Raw genomic sequence first — 12,667 nt, forward strand, 5'->3', positions numbered from 1 at the left:
TGCCCATAAGGGACTATCCTAAGGCGACAGCCTGCCCCTCAAGACAGGTGACGGATAATCTCCTCTTCCCTCGATTATGTTGTTGGAATAAGGATGGAGCTACAGTAACAACTAATGAATTGAGGCCACAGTCACCATTTATTGCCTGTGATTTTGCTACACAGATAGAAGTAAGATAGGCAGATATGCTATTAAACATTAGAAAAGGGCCAGGGGGCTGGGCACGGTGGTTCACGCCTGTAATCCCAGCACTTCTGGAGGCCAAGGCGGATGGATCACCTGAGGTCAGGAATTGGAGACCAGCCTGGCCAACATGGTGAAACTCCATCTCTACTAAAAATACAAAAATTAACCGGGCATGGTGGCTCATGCCTGTAATCCCAACACTTTGGGAGGCCAAGGTGGGTGGATCATGAGGTCAGGAGTTTGAGACCAGCCTGGCCAACATGGTGAAACCTCATCTCTACTAAAACAAAAAATACAAAAATTAGTCGGGCATGGCGGCGGGTGTCTGTAATCCCAGCTACTTGGGAGGCTGAGGCAGGAGAACTGCTTGAACCCAGGAGGCGGAGGTTGCAGTGAGCCGAGATCGTGCCACTGTACTCCAGCCTGGGTGATAGAGCAAGACTCCGTCTCAAAAAAATAAATAAATAAAAAATAAAAATAAATAAATAAATATACAAAAATTAGCTGGATGTGGTGGCAGACACCTGTAATCCCAGCTACTTGGGAGGCTAAGGCAGGAGAATTGCTTGAACCCAGAAGGCAGAGGTTGCCGTGAACCGAGATCGAACTTTTTTTTTCTGTCTCAAAAAAAGGGCCACACTTTGGGAGGCAGGAGGATCGCTTGAGGCCAGGAGTTTGAGACAAGACTGGGCAATGGAGTGAGATCCTCTTCTCTAAAAAAACTGTAAAAAAAAAAAAAATAGCGGGGCATGGTGGTACGTGCCAGTAGTCCTAGCTGCTTGGGAGGCTGAAGACAGTGGATTGCTTAAGCCCAGCAGTTTCAGGCTGCAGTGAGCTATGATCACCACAGCACTCCAGTCTGGGTGACAGAGTGAGGCCTCGTCTCAAATAAATAAATAAATATTAGAAAACATAAAGTAGGTCAAAAGTACCAGAAAATACAAACTCTGCCCATTGGCAGTGGTGTGCTAGTAAATACTTAAGAATCAGCTTTCTGAAAGCCCTGCCCTGATGTGTAGTATTTGCTGATTTCTGTGATGTAAATTCTCCCACCACGACGTATTTCAAGTTACCAATGCGAGGCCACAGAATGCAATGTTGGAAAGAGAAGTACATCATTATGCAGTGTTTCCACCACACAGATATGACAGACCTAACTAACCTGGAGAGCCTCGAGAAGGGACAAATGTAACACGATTATCAGGAAGTGGTGAGTTTTTTGTATTTATTATCTTTGCCTTTAATATATACTTTACTTTTTTGGAATTTTTAAATTTTATTTTATTTATTGCTGAGACAGGTTCTCACTGTGTTGCCCACGCTGGAGTGCAGTGGTGAGATCTCAGCTTACTGCAACCTCTGCCTTCTGGGCTCAAGCAATCCTCTTACCTTAGCCTTCCAAGTAGCTGGGACCATAGGCATGAGCCACCATGCCTGGCTAATTTTTGTATTTTTTGTAAAGATGGGTTTTCACCATGTTGCCCAGGCTGGTCTCAAACTCCTGAGCTCAAGTGATCCACCCACCTTGGCCTCCCAAAGTGCACCCAGCCAGGAATTTTATTTTTAATAACGGCTATGTTTAACAACTCATTCTCACAGTTCCCTGAAAAGTTTAATGCTGGCTCTGGTTAAGGCCTTAACAAGGGATTGCAACAGGCCACTGCCTTTAGGAGTCTCTGGGCAGGGAACTGTTGTTGTAGGGAAAGTGTTGGCCTGGAAGACTGGGATTTGTGCTAGATCTGGCTGGGCAGATGGGAAAGATGCCTCCCTCTCCCTCAAACATTCTCGGGAACACCGTAGAAACAGGCCTGAAGCCCCAGCAATACCTCCTCCCACCTCCTATTGTCCCATCCAGAACTTCCTCAGCATCTCTGGATGAGAGGAGGCAGCACGTCTCTTTGTGTTCCTGCAAACCTGGAGAAATTAAGGCAGGACTACTTTAAGGGTGAGCAAAACTAGTGTCCTATTTCGAAGGTGTCCTGAGCTCAGCCCTCCCTCACATCCCTACTCCCAGGAAATAGCTGAAATTCCTTGACAGCCCCTCCCCTGAGTTAGAGATCAAAGATTAAAACATTAGACCTGCAAACTGCCTGAAACTCATTCACGTCTTCAGCCCGCATAGGAAAGAAGCTGGTCTGGGAGAGCAGGCTGAGGCATTTCACAACCGGCGCATGGCAACCCTGTTTTCCTCCAATGGGCACCAACAAACACCAGCTGCACACAGAGTTGCCTTTGCTGCAGGAGGCAGAGTCACTGCCTGTAGATGCAGGAAGTTGTTTATTTGAGTTTAGAGTCAGCCAGACATGGATTAGAATCGGGTTTCCCTGGACACTTAACCTCTTTAAACTCATGTAAATCCCACGCGTAAATGGAGAGAATAGGACCCACCTCAGGACTGTCGTGACAGTCAAAGGAGATAATCCATCTACAAGGCTTAGCAGAGTCCCTGGAACACAGTGTGTGCTCAAAATGCAGTTGTTATTAATGGTTTTCAAAAAATTTTTATCTATTTATTTATTTTTTAGGTGGAGTCTTGTTCTTGTTGCCCAGGCTGAAGTGCATTGATGCAATCTCAGCTCACTATAACCTCTGCCTCCTGGGTTCAAGCCATTCTCTTGCCTCAGCCTCTTGAGTAGCTGGGATTACAGGCCCCTGCCACCACACCCGGCTAATTTTTGTGTTTTTAGTAGAGACAGGGTTTCACCATGTTAGCCAGGCTGGTCTCAAACTCCTGACCTCAAGGGATCAGCCCACCTGGGCCTCCCAAAGTGCTGGGATTACAGGCATGAGTCACCACGTCCAGACTAAATATTATTTCTAATACAGTCAGAGTGTATGATGATGCTTCATTATTACAAAATTGATCAATCAAAGCATCTAAGTATTAAGGAAAAAATCCTTCTGGGCTGAGTGCGGGTGGCTCATGCCTGAAATCTCAGCATTTTGGGAGGCCAAGCAGGAGGATTGCCAGAGGCTGGGAGTTCCAGACCAGCCTAGCCAATATAATGAGACCCCTGTCTTTAAAAAAATAATAAAAATTTAAAATATTGTTTTAAAAAGGAAAAAAGTTCTGATGGGCATTACTCCATAGATTTAATTTAAAAAGGCAAGCAATCTCCCCTCACCACACTAAAGAAACTTAATTTGCTGGCAATTGCTTTTAGTACTGCAGCATAACTGCTATGGTTTGGATATGTCCCCTCCAAGATTCAGGTGTTGCCAATGTGATAGTGTTGCTGGAAAGAGGTCCCAGTCCAGACCCCAAAAGAGGGTTGTTGGATCTCATGCAAGAAAGAATTTGGGACAAGTTCATAGAGTAAAGTGAAAGCAAGTTTATTAAGAAAGTAAAGGGGCCGGCCATGGTGGCTCACGTCTGTAATCCCAGCACTTTGGGAGGTCGAGGTGGACGGATCACCTGAGGTCAGGAGTTCAAGACCAGCCTGGCCAACATGGTGAAACCTGTCTCCACTAAAAATACAAAAATTAGCCTGGCATGGTGATGCATGCCTGTAATCCCAGCTACTCTGGAGGCTGAGGCATGAGAATCGCTTGAACCTGGGAGGCAGAGGTTGCAGTGAATTGAGATCACGTCACTGCACCCCAGCCTGGAGGATGAGACTCTGTCTCAAAAAAAAAAAAAAAAAGTAAAGGAATAAAGAATGGCTACTCCATAGGCAGGGCAGGGGCTCAACGAAGGATACCTATAGTTATTTCTTGATTATATGGTAAACAAGGGGTGGATTATTCATGAGTTTTCGGGGAAAGGGGTGGGCAATTCCATAACTGAGGGTTTCTCCGCTTTTTAGACCATATAGGATAACTTCCTGCCATTGCCATGGCATCTGTAAACTGTCACGGTGCTGGTCACATGGTGCTCTTAACATGTGAATGCATTGTAATTTGCATATAATGAGCAGTGAGGACGACTAGAGGTCACTTTTGTCACCATCTTGGTTTTGGTGGATTTTGGTCAGCTTCATTATTGCAACCTATTTTATCAGCAAGGTCTTGTGCCGACCTCCTATCTCATCCTGGAACTTAGAATGCCTAACCTGTGAATGCAGCCCAGTAGGTCTCAGCCTTATTTTACCCAGCTGTATTCAAGATGGAGTCGCTCTTGTTCAAAAGCTTCTGACAACAGGATTAAGAGGTGGGACCTTTAGGAGGTGATCAAGCCATGAGGGCTCTTCCTTTGGGAATAGGATTAAAGCCCTTATAAAAGAGGCTTCAGGGAGCAGTGGCTCCATAGCCCTTTGACAATCCATCATGCAACAAGGCATCATCGTGGAAGGGGAGAGCAGCCCTCACCAGACAACCAAATATGCCCAACCTGCCAGTGCCCTGATCTTGTACTTCCCTGCCTCTAGACCTGTTCTTTATACATTCTCCTCTTTATAAATTACCTAGGCTCAGGTATTTTGTTATAGCAGCACAAAAAGGGACTAAGAAAGGAAAAGTCAAGGAACAAAATGTGTTTAGCTCAGCTTAAAACAAAGTCTCACATGAAGATAAGCACACCACATCCTTTTAAATCCGTTTCCCAAACCATTGCATGGGGAAAACACCATTTCAAAAAGACTAATAAATTATTTTTGAAGGGTATAATATTCTAGTTTTATTTTGTTCATTTTTTTTTATTTGATAGAGTCTTATTCTGTTGCCCAGACTGAAATGCAGTGGTGTAATCTTGGCTCACTGCAACCTCTGCCTCCCAGGTTCAAGCAATTCTCCTGCCTCAGCCTCCCAAGCAGCTGGGATTACAGGTGCACGCCCCCACACCCGGCTAATTTTTATATTTTCAGTAAAGACAGGGTTTCCATGTTGGCCAGGCTGGTCTCAAACTCCTGACCTCAAGTGATCTGCCCGCCCCGGTCTCCCAACGTGCTGGGATTACAGGTATGAGCCACTGCACCTGGTCACGCATGTTCTTTTTTTTTTTTTAAAGACAGAGTCCTGCTCTGTCACCCAAGCTGGAGTGCAGTGGCCTGATCACAGCTCACTGCAGTCTCGACCTCCTCAGCTCAGTCGATCCTCTCACCTCAACCTCTTGATTAGATGGGAGTACAGGTACCCCCACCACATAGGCTAATTAAAAAACGAATTTTTTTTAGAGATGGAGTCTCACTATATCGCCCAGGCTGGTCTCCTGGGCTCAGGTGATTCTCCCAGCTCAGCCTCCCAAACTGTGGGATTACAGGGTGAGCCACCATGCCCAGCCCTTTTTTCTGTTTTTATGCATTTACACTTGCATGTACAGGATGGGGATCAGATTATATATATATATATTTAACCAATTCCTCCCCCTGCCCAAACAATATGTTGACAGCAGTTCCCTCCCTTCACAGGCAGAGCCTTCACTGTGCAGTATTTTCAGGCCCTGCATTGTACTGAGGGGAGACAGGACTGTGAGGTTAATATGTAAAGGAGTGAGAGGAGGCACTTAAGGTTGCATATGGGAAATCTCCACCAACTCAATTGGGGCTACACCATAGCATTTAGCCCTAGGCAGTTTAAGGAGATAGGGAGTTGGAGAGAGCATGATTGCTGAGCCTTTCTCCCCCTTTAAAAGTTTAGCAAGTGAGGCCGGGTGTTGTGGCTCATGCCTGTAATCCTAACACTTTGGGAGGCCGAGGCAGGTGGATCATTTGAGGTCAGGAGTTCGAGACCAACCTGGCCAACTTGGTGAAACCCTGTCTCTACTAAAAATACAAAAAATTAGCCAGGCGTGGTGGCACAGGCCTGTAATCTCAGCTACTCGGGAGGCTGAGGCAGGATAATCGCTTGAACCTTGCAGGGGCAGAGGTTGCAGTGAGCTGAGATCACACCACTGCACTCCAGCCTGAATGACAGAGCAAGGCTCCATCTCAAAAAAAAAAAAAAAAAAAGTGTGGCAAGTGAAAGCTACTGCATGCGCATGAGGACACAGTCTTGCACAGTTCTGGGTGCTAGCAGTCCTATGCCATGTGGTCATTTCGGAAGGCCATGATCAAGAAACCCTGCACAAGGAGTTTCCATTTGGGAGGTGGAACACAGGAGCACAGACCAATAGTTCTGTTTTTAAAGTGCAGTTCGAGAACCTCAAATTTGGGGAAGCCACAACACTAAGTAAGTAATAAAATTCTTAACATTTAGCATACAGAATAATGCTATTTAGGCCCTTTGAGAGACCTACATTTTAGTTTTCTGCACATGAGAACAGATGGTCTTGGTTCATATACAGGCCCAATTTACACCCAGCCTTCAAGATAAACAACAGCCACAGCTGAGTGAATTTAGGAACTCCCCTTCCCTTCCCAGGGTTACCGGGGACTTCTCTCCCCTTCCCCCACGGGAGGACCTCATCTCTGCCTGGGGCCCCATTTCCCTTGCTCAGTTGCTATTTTCACTTTACACAGGAAAGGCAAAAGCTGGTGAGCTACCTCCCAAAGGGGAGGAGAAGGAAAACGGAAGGAGGAGGATGGAGAAGACTGTCCCTTTCAACCTTGTCTGCATTCCTCCCCCATAGTCCTAAGGTGGATGGGAAGGGAAGAGGGTTGTAAGAGCTGAGGGCATAGTCTTGCCTATTGCTGTACCATGAATGCATTATAGATACTCATCTCTATTGCTTAAGGCAGGCAGGTGGGCCTGTGGCTCTAGGGCCTGGTGTCTTTCCAATCTCACCTGGGTTGTCTTAGAGGGCTGCTGGGGGACAGCAGAATCTAATGAAGCACCCTGTGGTCCCCACAGGTCTGATGGATGGCTCTGCTCCACCTCAAGATGCTAAGTGAGGCTGAACAGGTTCTCATGACTGCATGGTCATGAATAGAGGGCCTAGCCTGTGTTAGAGGAAGGAGTTTATGTTTTAGGTATTGGAGCAGATGGCCATAGTCCAAGGAGCAGTCAGTGGCAGAGGTGGGGCATGGGGTGGAGCTGTTCGTTCCCACAGTGGAAAAGGCAACCCTAAATGTCTACCTCCGTTGGATACTTCATTCTTTGGGCCGATGTGCCTTTTCAGTGGTATCCAAGGTAACTGCTCTAAGGATGCATGCATTTTCTGCATGTTACTTTGTCATTTTGAAAATCCCGCCCCTCTTTTTTTTTTTTTTTTTGAGACAGAGTCTCACTCTGTCACTTAGGCTGCAGCACAGTGACATGATCATAGCTCACTGCAGCCTCAACATCCTGGGCTCAAGAAACTGAGGACCAGAGAGACTGATATGGAGAACAGGAGGATTGTTTATTTTAGGTATGCACCAGCTCAGTGGATTCGCATCCAAAAAGCTGAGCATTGAACAAAGACTGAGTGGGGTTTTTATAAGCAAACCTACAAAAGCCAAACAAAAGCAATTAATCATACAGTAACAGGTCACATAATCTATAGCATAACTGTTGACTTAGCATAACTTGTGGCCTTGCCTAGCTAGTGACCTTATAGCTGCGTCAAAAGAAAAATAAGAACTGGCTAAATACAGAGATTTGTAAAACATAATCATGCTTAAGAAACCAGGGAAAGGAGTAACAGTAAAAGAATTTGTCTTTTTCTTCTTTTTTTTTTTTTCCTTCAACCTTTCTCTGGAGGGGGGTGTTGTCTGGAGCCCATTCCTTTGTCCTTGGCTTTCTGGACAGCATTATCTTATAACTCTTCTTGAAGTGAGCTTGCTAGGCAGAGGAAAACTTGAAACTTGTTCTTTTCTTTTTAACCTTTGCCGTGCCTGTTACTTTTCTTACAGTGAATGAATGCATATTTATTTTTAAATTTCTGCCTCATCTCAGCCTTCCGAGTAGCTTGGACTACAGGTGCGTGCCACCATGGCCAGTTAATGTTTTAAATTTTTTTTTTTTTTTTTTTGTAGAGAGAGGATTTTGCCATGTTGCCCAACCTGGTCTTGAACTCCTGGGCTCAAGAAATCCTCCCCTGGCCTCCAAAAGTGCTGGGATTACAGGTGTGAGCCACCATGTCCTGCTTGAAACTCTTAATATAAAAAAAATTGCCAGATGTGGTGGCTCACACCTGTAATCTCAGCACTTTGGGAGGCTGACGTGGGTGGATCACATGAGGTCAGGAGTTTGAGACCAGCCTGGCCAACACGGCAAAACCCCATCTCTACTAAAAATACAAAAATTAGCCTGGCATGGTGGCATGCACCCGTAATCTCAGCTCCTCCGGAGGCTGAGGCAGGAGAATCGCTTGAACCCGGGAGGCAGATCTTGCAGTGAGCTGAGATCGTGCCGCTGCACTCCAGCCTGGGCGACAGAGTGAGACTGTGTCTGGAAAAAAAAAAAAAGAAAGAAAGAAAAGGGAAAAAAAACCAGAAAAACTTTAATTATTTTTATTTTATTTTTTATTTTTGAAATGGAGTTTCACTCTTGTCGCCCAGGCTGAAGTACAATGACACGATCTCAGCTCACTGCAACCTCTGTCTCCCAGGTTCAAGTGAGTCTCCTGCCTCAGCCTCCCAAGTAGCTGGGAGTACAGGCATGAGGCACCACACCCGGCTAATTTTTGTATTTTTAGTAGTGATGGGGTTTCACCATGTTGGTCAGGCTGGTCTCAAGCTCCCGACCTCAGGTGTTCCCACCTGCCTCGCCTCCCAAAGTGTTGGGATTACAGGCATGAGCCACCACACCCGGCCAGAAAAACTTCAATTATATCTGAAATCCACTCACATTATCATAAGAAACTTACACATATCAATGAAAAAAAAAAGAGATACTGAATTTTTAGAATCCAATTTCAAATTGTTCACAATTTAAGACAATAATAATAGTTGTAAATGTATTACCTACGTGTCTGTACAGCTTCTCACCTGAAAGTTATTATCAAAAGTATAAAGAAGTTGTTGTTGAAACTCTTAATCTGTATAGCTGTTTCAACATGAAACCATAAAGAAAAAGTTATGATCATGAAATCAGGCTCAAGTTCCTCTTAACTTTAAAAATATCTCATTTAAAGCTTTATTCAAATTATCTACTTTCAATACTTTGTATTTTATTGTTTTTTTTTAACAAAAAACAACATATTTTCGCCAAGTGACCTATAGCTATGCTCCCAATTTATTGCAGTTATTTTATTCACAAAATTCCATATTTTATGAATATAAAAAACTGAGAAACAATGCCCCATATCATATTAATTAGTCTAGAGCACAATTGTGGTTACATCGGTTAATGGGCCAACAGGGTTACCTACCCATTGTTAATAATTTTCTTTCTGTGAGTAAAATAATTTGGATTTCCAAACTACAAATTACAAACCCATTAATGTCCCAACCTATGAGATGGAGCAAGCTTCTTCAGGTAAACTGCAATCGGTTACAGCCTTATTTGCAAATGCATTTTGCTTGCTTCAAACAGCTTCTAGAGAGCTGTTTCGTAATGTGCTTTAGGATCACTTCCAGAATAACCCCCTATGGTTGTGTGCACTGTGGCTCAAGGGACTTCTCATTGGTAGGTTTAAAACTCACTTAGCTCGCCCCTAGAAGAGCAGGATTGTTTTTGTAAGCCTGCATAAAAAACAAAAAGCCAGACCAGAAAAATGCAAGGAGTCTAGGCAAGGTGGCTCACGCCTGTAATCCCAGTACTTTGGGAGGCTGAGGCGGGCAGATCGCTTGAGCTCAGAAATTTGAGACCAGCCTGGGCAACATGGCAAAACCCCGTCTCTAACGCTACCCAAAATACAAAAATTAGCCGGGTGTGGTGGCATGCGCCTGTAGTTCCAGCTATCTGGGAGGCTGAGGTGGGAGGATCACTTGAGCCAGGGAGGTGGAGGTTGCAGTGAGCTGAGATCGCCCCACTGCAGTCCAGCCAGGGCGACAGATCCAGAACCTGTCTCAAATACATCATACATACATACATACATACATACATACATACATACATACATACAGGGAGTCCACAGACTTTTTCTTTCTTTTCAGTTGCTCTCTCCCTTTTGGCCTCCTTGTTAAAAACTCTACATACGTTTTCAAGTAAAACCTTCTAATTTACCCCAACAGATGAACCTGCTCTGGATTAAGCCAGAAGCAAGAGAGAACCCTGCTAGACCAGCCATTTCACCAGCTCCCTAAAATGCAGCTATATTTGGGAGACTTCTGTGTAGGAAGTAAGGCTAATAATGCAGTTCCCAGAAGATTAGGTGTGGTTTTAATGAGCTCACACAAGGCGGGTGGGGAGGGGAGTGGTTCCATGGTTCTATTTTTAAAACTCGTGTAAAGATCATCCTTTGTTGTCTAAACACGGCAGTAGAGAAAGAGACGTCTCTGTTTCTCACGTTACAATCAGAGGTAACAACCTGTGCTAACCTGGTTTCCAGCGAAAAGGCCAAAAGTGTACTGATAACTTCGGCTTCAGCTGAGACTGGGATAACCCGCTTGAGCCAGTGCCAAATTCCACCCATCCGGCGCGCAAGCGAGCGGGGCTTCTCCTCCCCAACCCCGGCCCAGGCTGCTTCTGCCGGGTCAGTGCTGCCGGGTTGGTGGAAGCTGCCTTCCCTCCCTCCAAGATCAGAAAGGCGGAGGGTTCAGGAAGGGGTTCTCCTCTAGGTGCAAGGGACTGCCTGGATATTTGGAGGGAATGGCAAAGCCCTGCTTCATGAGGTGAATGAATATAAATTAAATCGCTCTCGTATTTAAAATAACTTGACGGATGACAGTGCCCATTCAGTCAATCGGCCCTCGACGTTGGATTTGCTACCTGGGCTTGTTGTCTGCGAGTTAAGGTCCTGCAAAAAGCCCCTGGCTTGTCACCTCAACTAACCTATCTCCTCCAGCAATTCTCTCAATACATCCTCGGGTTGTATTGTAATTCATTTTCCATAGCAGAAATGTGGAGGGCTCTAGAGAAGGTACAAGGCAAATTTTTTTTTTAAATTTTATTTTTGGTTGGCCGCGGTGGCTCACGCCTGTAATCCCAGCCCTTTGGGAGGCTGAGGCGGACGAATCACCTGATATCGGGAGTTTGAGACCAGCCTGACCAACATGGAGAAACCCCATCTCTACTAAAAATACAAAATTAGCCGGGCGTGGTGGCGCATGCCTGTAATCCCAGCTACTCGGGAGGCTGAGGCAGGAGAATCGCTTGAACCAGGGAGGCGGAGGTTGTGGTGAGCCCAGATCGCTCCATTGCACCCCAGCCTGGGCAACAAGAACGAAACTCAGTCTCAAAAATTTTTTTGTTTTATTTTATTTTTTAAATTTGAGACAAGGCCTCGCTCTGTCGCCCAGGCTGGAGTGCCATGGCGCAATCATAGCTCACGGCAGACTCGAACTGCTGGGCTCAAGGGATCCCCCTACCTCAGCTTCCGAGGAGCTAGGATGACACGCGTGAGCCACCATGCCTGGCTAATTTTTAGATTTTTTGTAGAGACGGGGTAGCTATGTTGCCCAGGCTGGTCTCCAACTCCTGACCTCAAGTGATCCTCCCGCCTCGGCCTCCAAAGCGCTGGGATTACAGGCGTGCGCAACCGCGCGGAGGCAATCTAGAAACTGCAGAGGGAGCACGGACCTGGGCACTGGGAAGAATAGGGCGTGGACTTGGAGTGTGACCGCGTTTGAATCTGGGTTGTGCCTGGGACACCCCACCTCCTGGGCCGTAGGTGGGGGGGGAGAGAGAGAGAGAGAGAGAGAGAGAGAGAGGATGTCGACCTTACATGGCTCCTAGCTCTCCGCGCTCTAGCCGAATGCCTGGTTCCTAGTGGGTGCTTGATACGTGGGAAATGTAGGGGGAGGGGGTGGCGGGGCATTGGGAATGTCCCGCAGAGTGGATTTCGGGAGAGTGGCGCTTTTCTCTAGAACTCTCTTCCGGTTACACCTGGAGTAAAAGCTTGACACTCTAGAAGGAAAACCCCAGATGAGCAGCTAGGACTGAGGGTTAGCGGTAGGCGGGAGCGGGGAGATAGTACAAGTACGCTTCCTAATGAGGCGGTGCCGCAAAATAACCAATTTTAATAAAGACTGCAGAGAAGAAAACCAGGTTCTGCTGGCGGAGTGCACAGGCTCCCAGCCGAGCGCCCAACAACCAGGTTCCGGGCCCACCCTGCCGCAGCCTCTTGGAAATCTCTAAGTTGGAATGTGTGCGTGCGCACCACGGGTCACTGCCCTCTTTGTGTGTGAATTTGAAGCGAAATCTGGGCGAGGCGGGGCCGTGCTACTAGCAATCGGACCCACAGTCGCGGTTCCAAGAAGCCCCGAAGCTTCCCCGGCTTCCCGCAGCACTGCTGGGAGGGCACACGGCGCCTCTGTCCCCACCCCAGAGCGTGGGGCGCGCGGAAAAAGGTCTGGTGACTGCCCTCCCCGCCGCCCCCCGGGAGCGTGCCCTCCCGCCGGACCCTGGGACTCCAGAGAAGCGCCGAGGGCGCGAGTACACTAAGATATACGACCTTCCCTGGGGACCGGGAAGGGCACAACCACCTCTTGCAACTCCGCCACTAAGACGCCTTGGGTCACCAGGCCCGGGGGAAAACTCGTCCCCGTCCCAGGCTCTCGATTCGGGCCGCAGCTCACGT

The 12,667-nt window shown here is 46.8% G+C and overlaps 3 annotated features.

Annotated features, from left to right (window-relative positions):
- Positions 10,393-10,452: an enhancer, noted in NCBI's record as "active region_3211". NCBI's record gives its function as "activates an Ori minimal core promoter by ATAC-STARR-seq in GM12878 lymphoblastoid cells {active_cell/tissue: GM12878}" and the evidence as "EXISTENCE:reporter gene assay evidence [ECO:0000049][PMID:35858748]".
- Positions 10,960-11,841: an enhancer, noted in NCBI's record as "H3K27ac-H3K4me1 hESC enhancer chr10:30721100-30721981 (GRCh37/hg19 assembly coordinates)". NCBI's record gives its function as "activates a minimal SCP1, AML or CMV promoter by ChIP-STARR-seq in primed H9 embryonic stem cells {active_cell/tissue: H9 hESC(primed)}" and the evidence as "EXISTENCE:reporter gene assay evidence [ECO:0000049][PMID:30033119]".
- Positions 12,513-12,652: an enhancer, noted in NCBI's record as "active region_3212". NCBI's record gives its function as "activates an Ori minimal core promoter by ATAC-STARR-seq in GM12878 lymphoblastoid cells {active_cell/tissue: GM12878}" and the evidence as "EXISTENCE:reporter gene assay evidence [ECO:0000049][PMID:35858748]".

The sequence above is a fragment of the Homo sapiens genome, chromosome 10, assembly GCF_000001405.40.
Source record: "Homo sapiens chromosome 10, GRCh38.p14 Primary Assembly".
Classification (NCBI taxonomy): domain Eukaryota; kingdom Metazoa; phylum Chordata; class Mammalia; order Primates; family Hominidae; genus Homo; species Homo sapiens.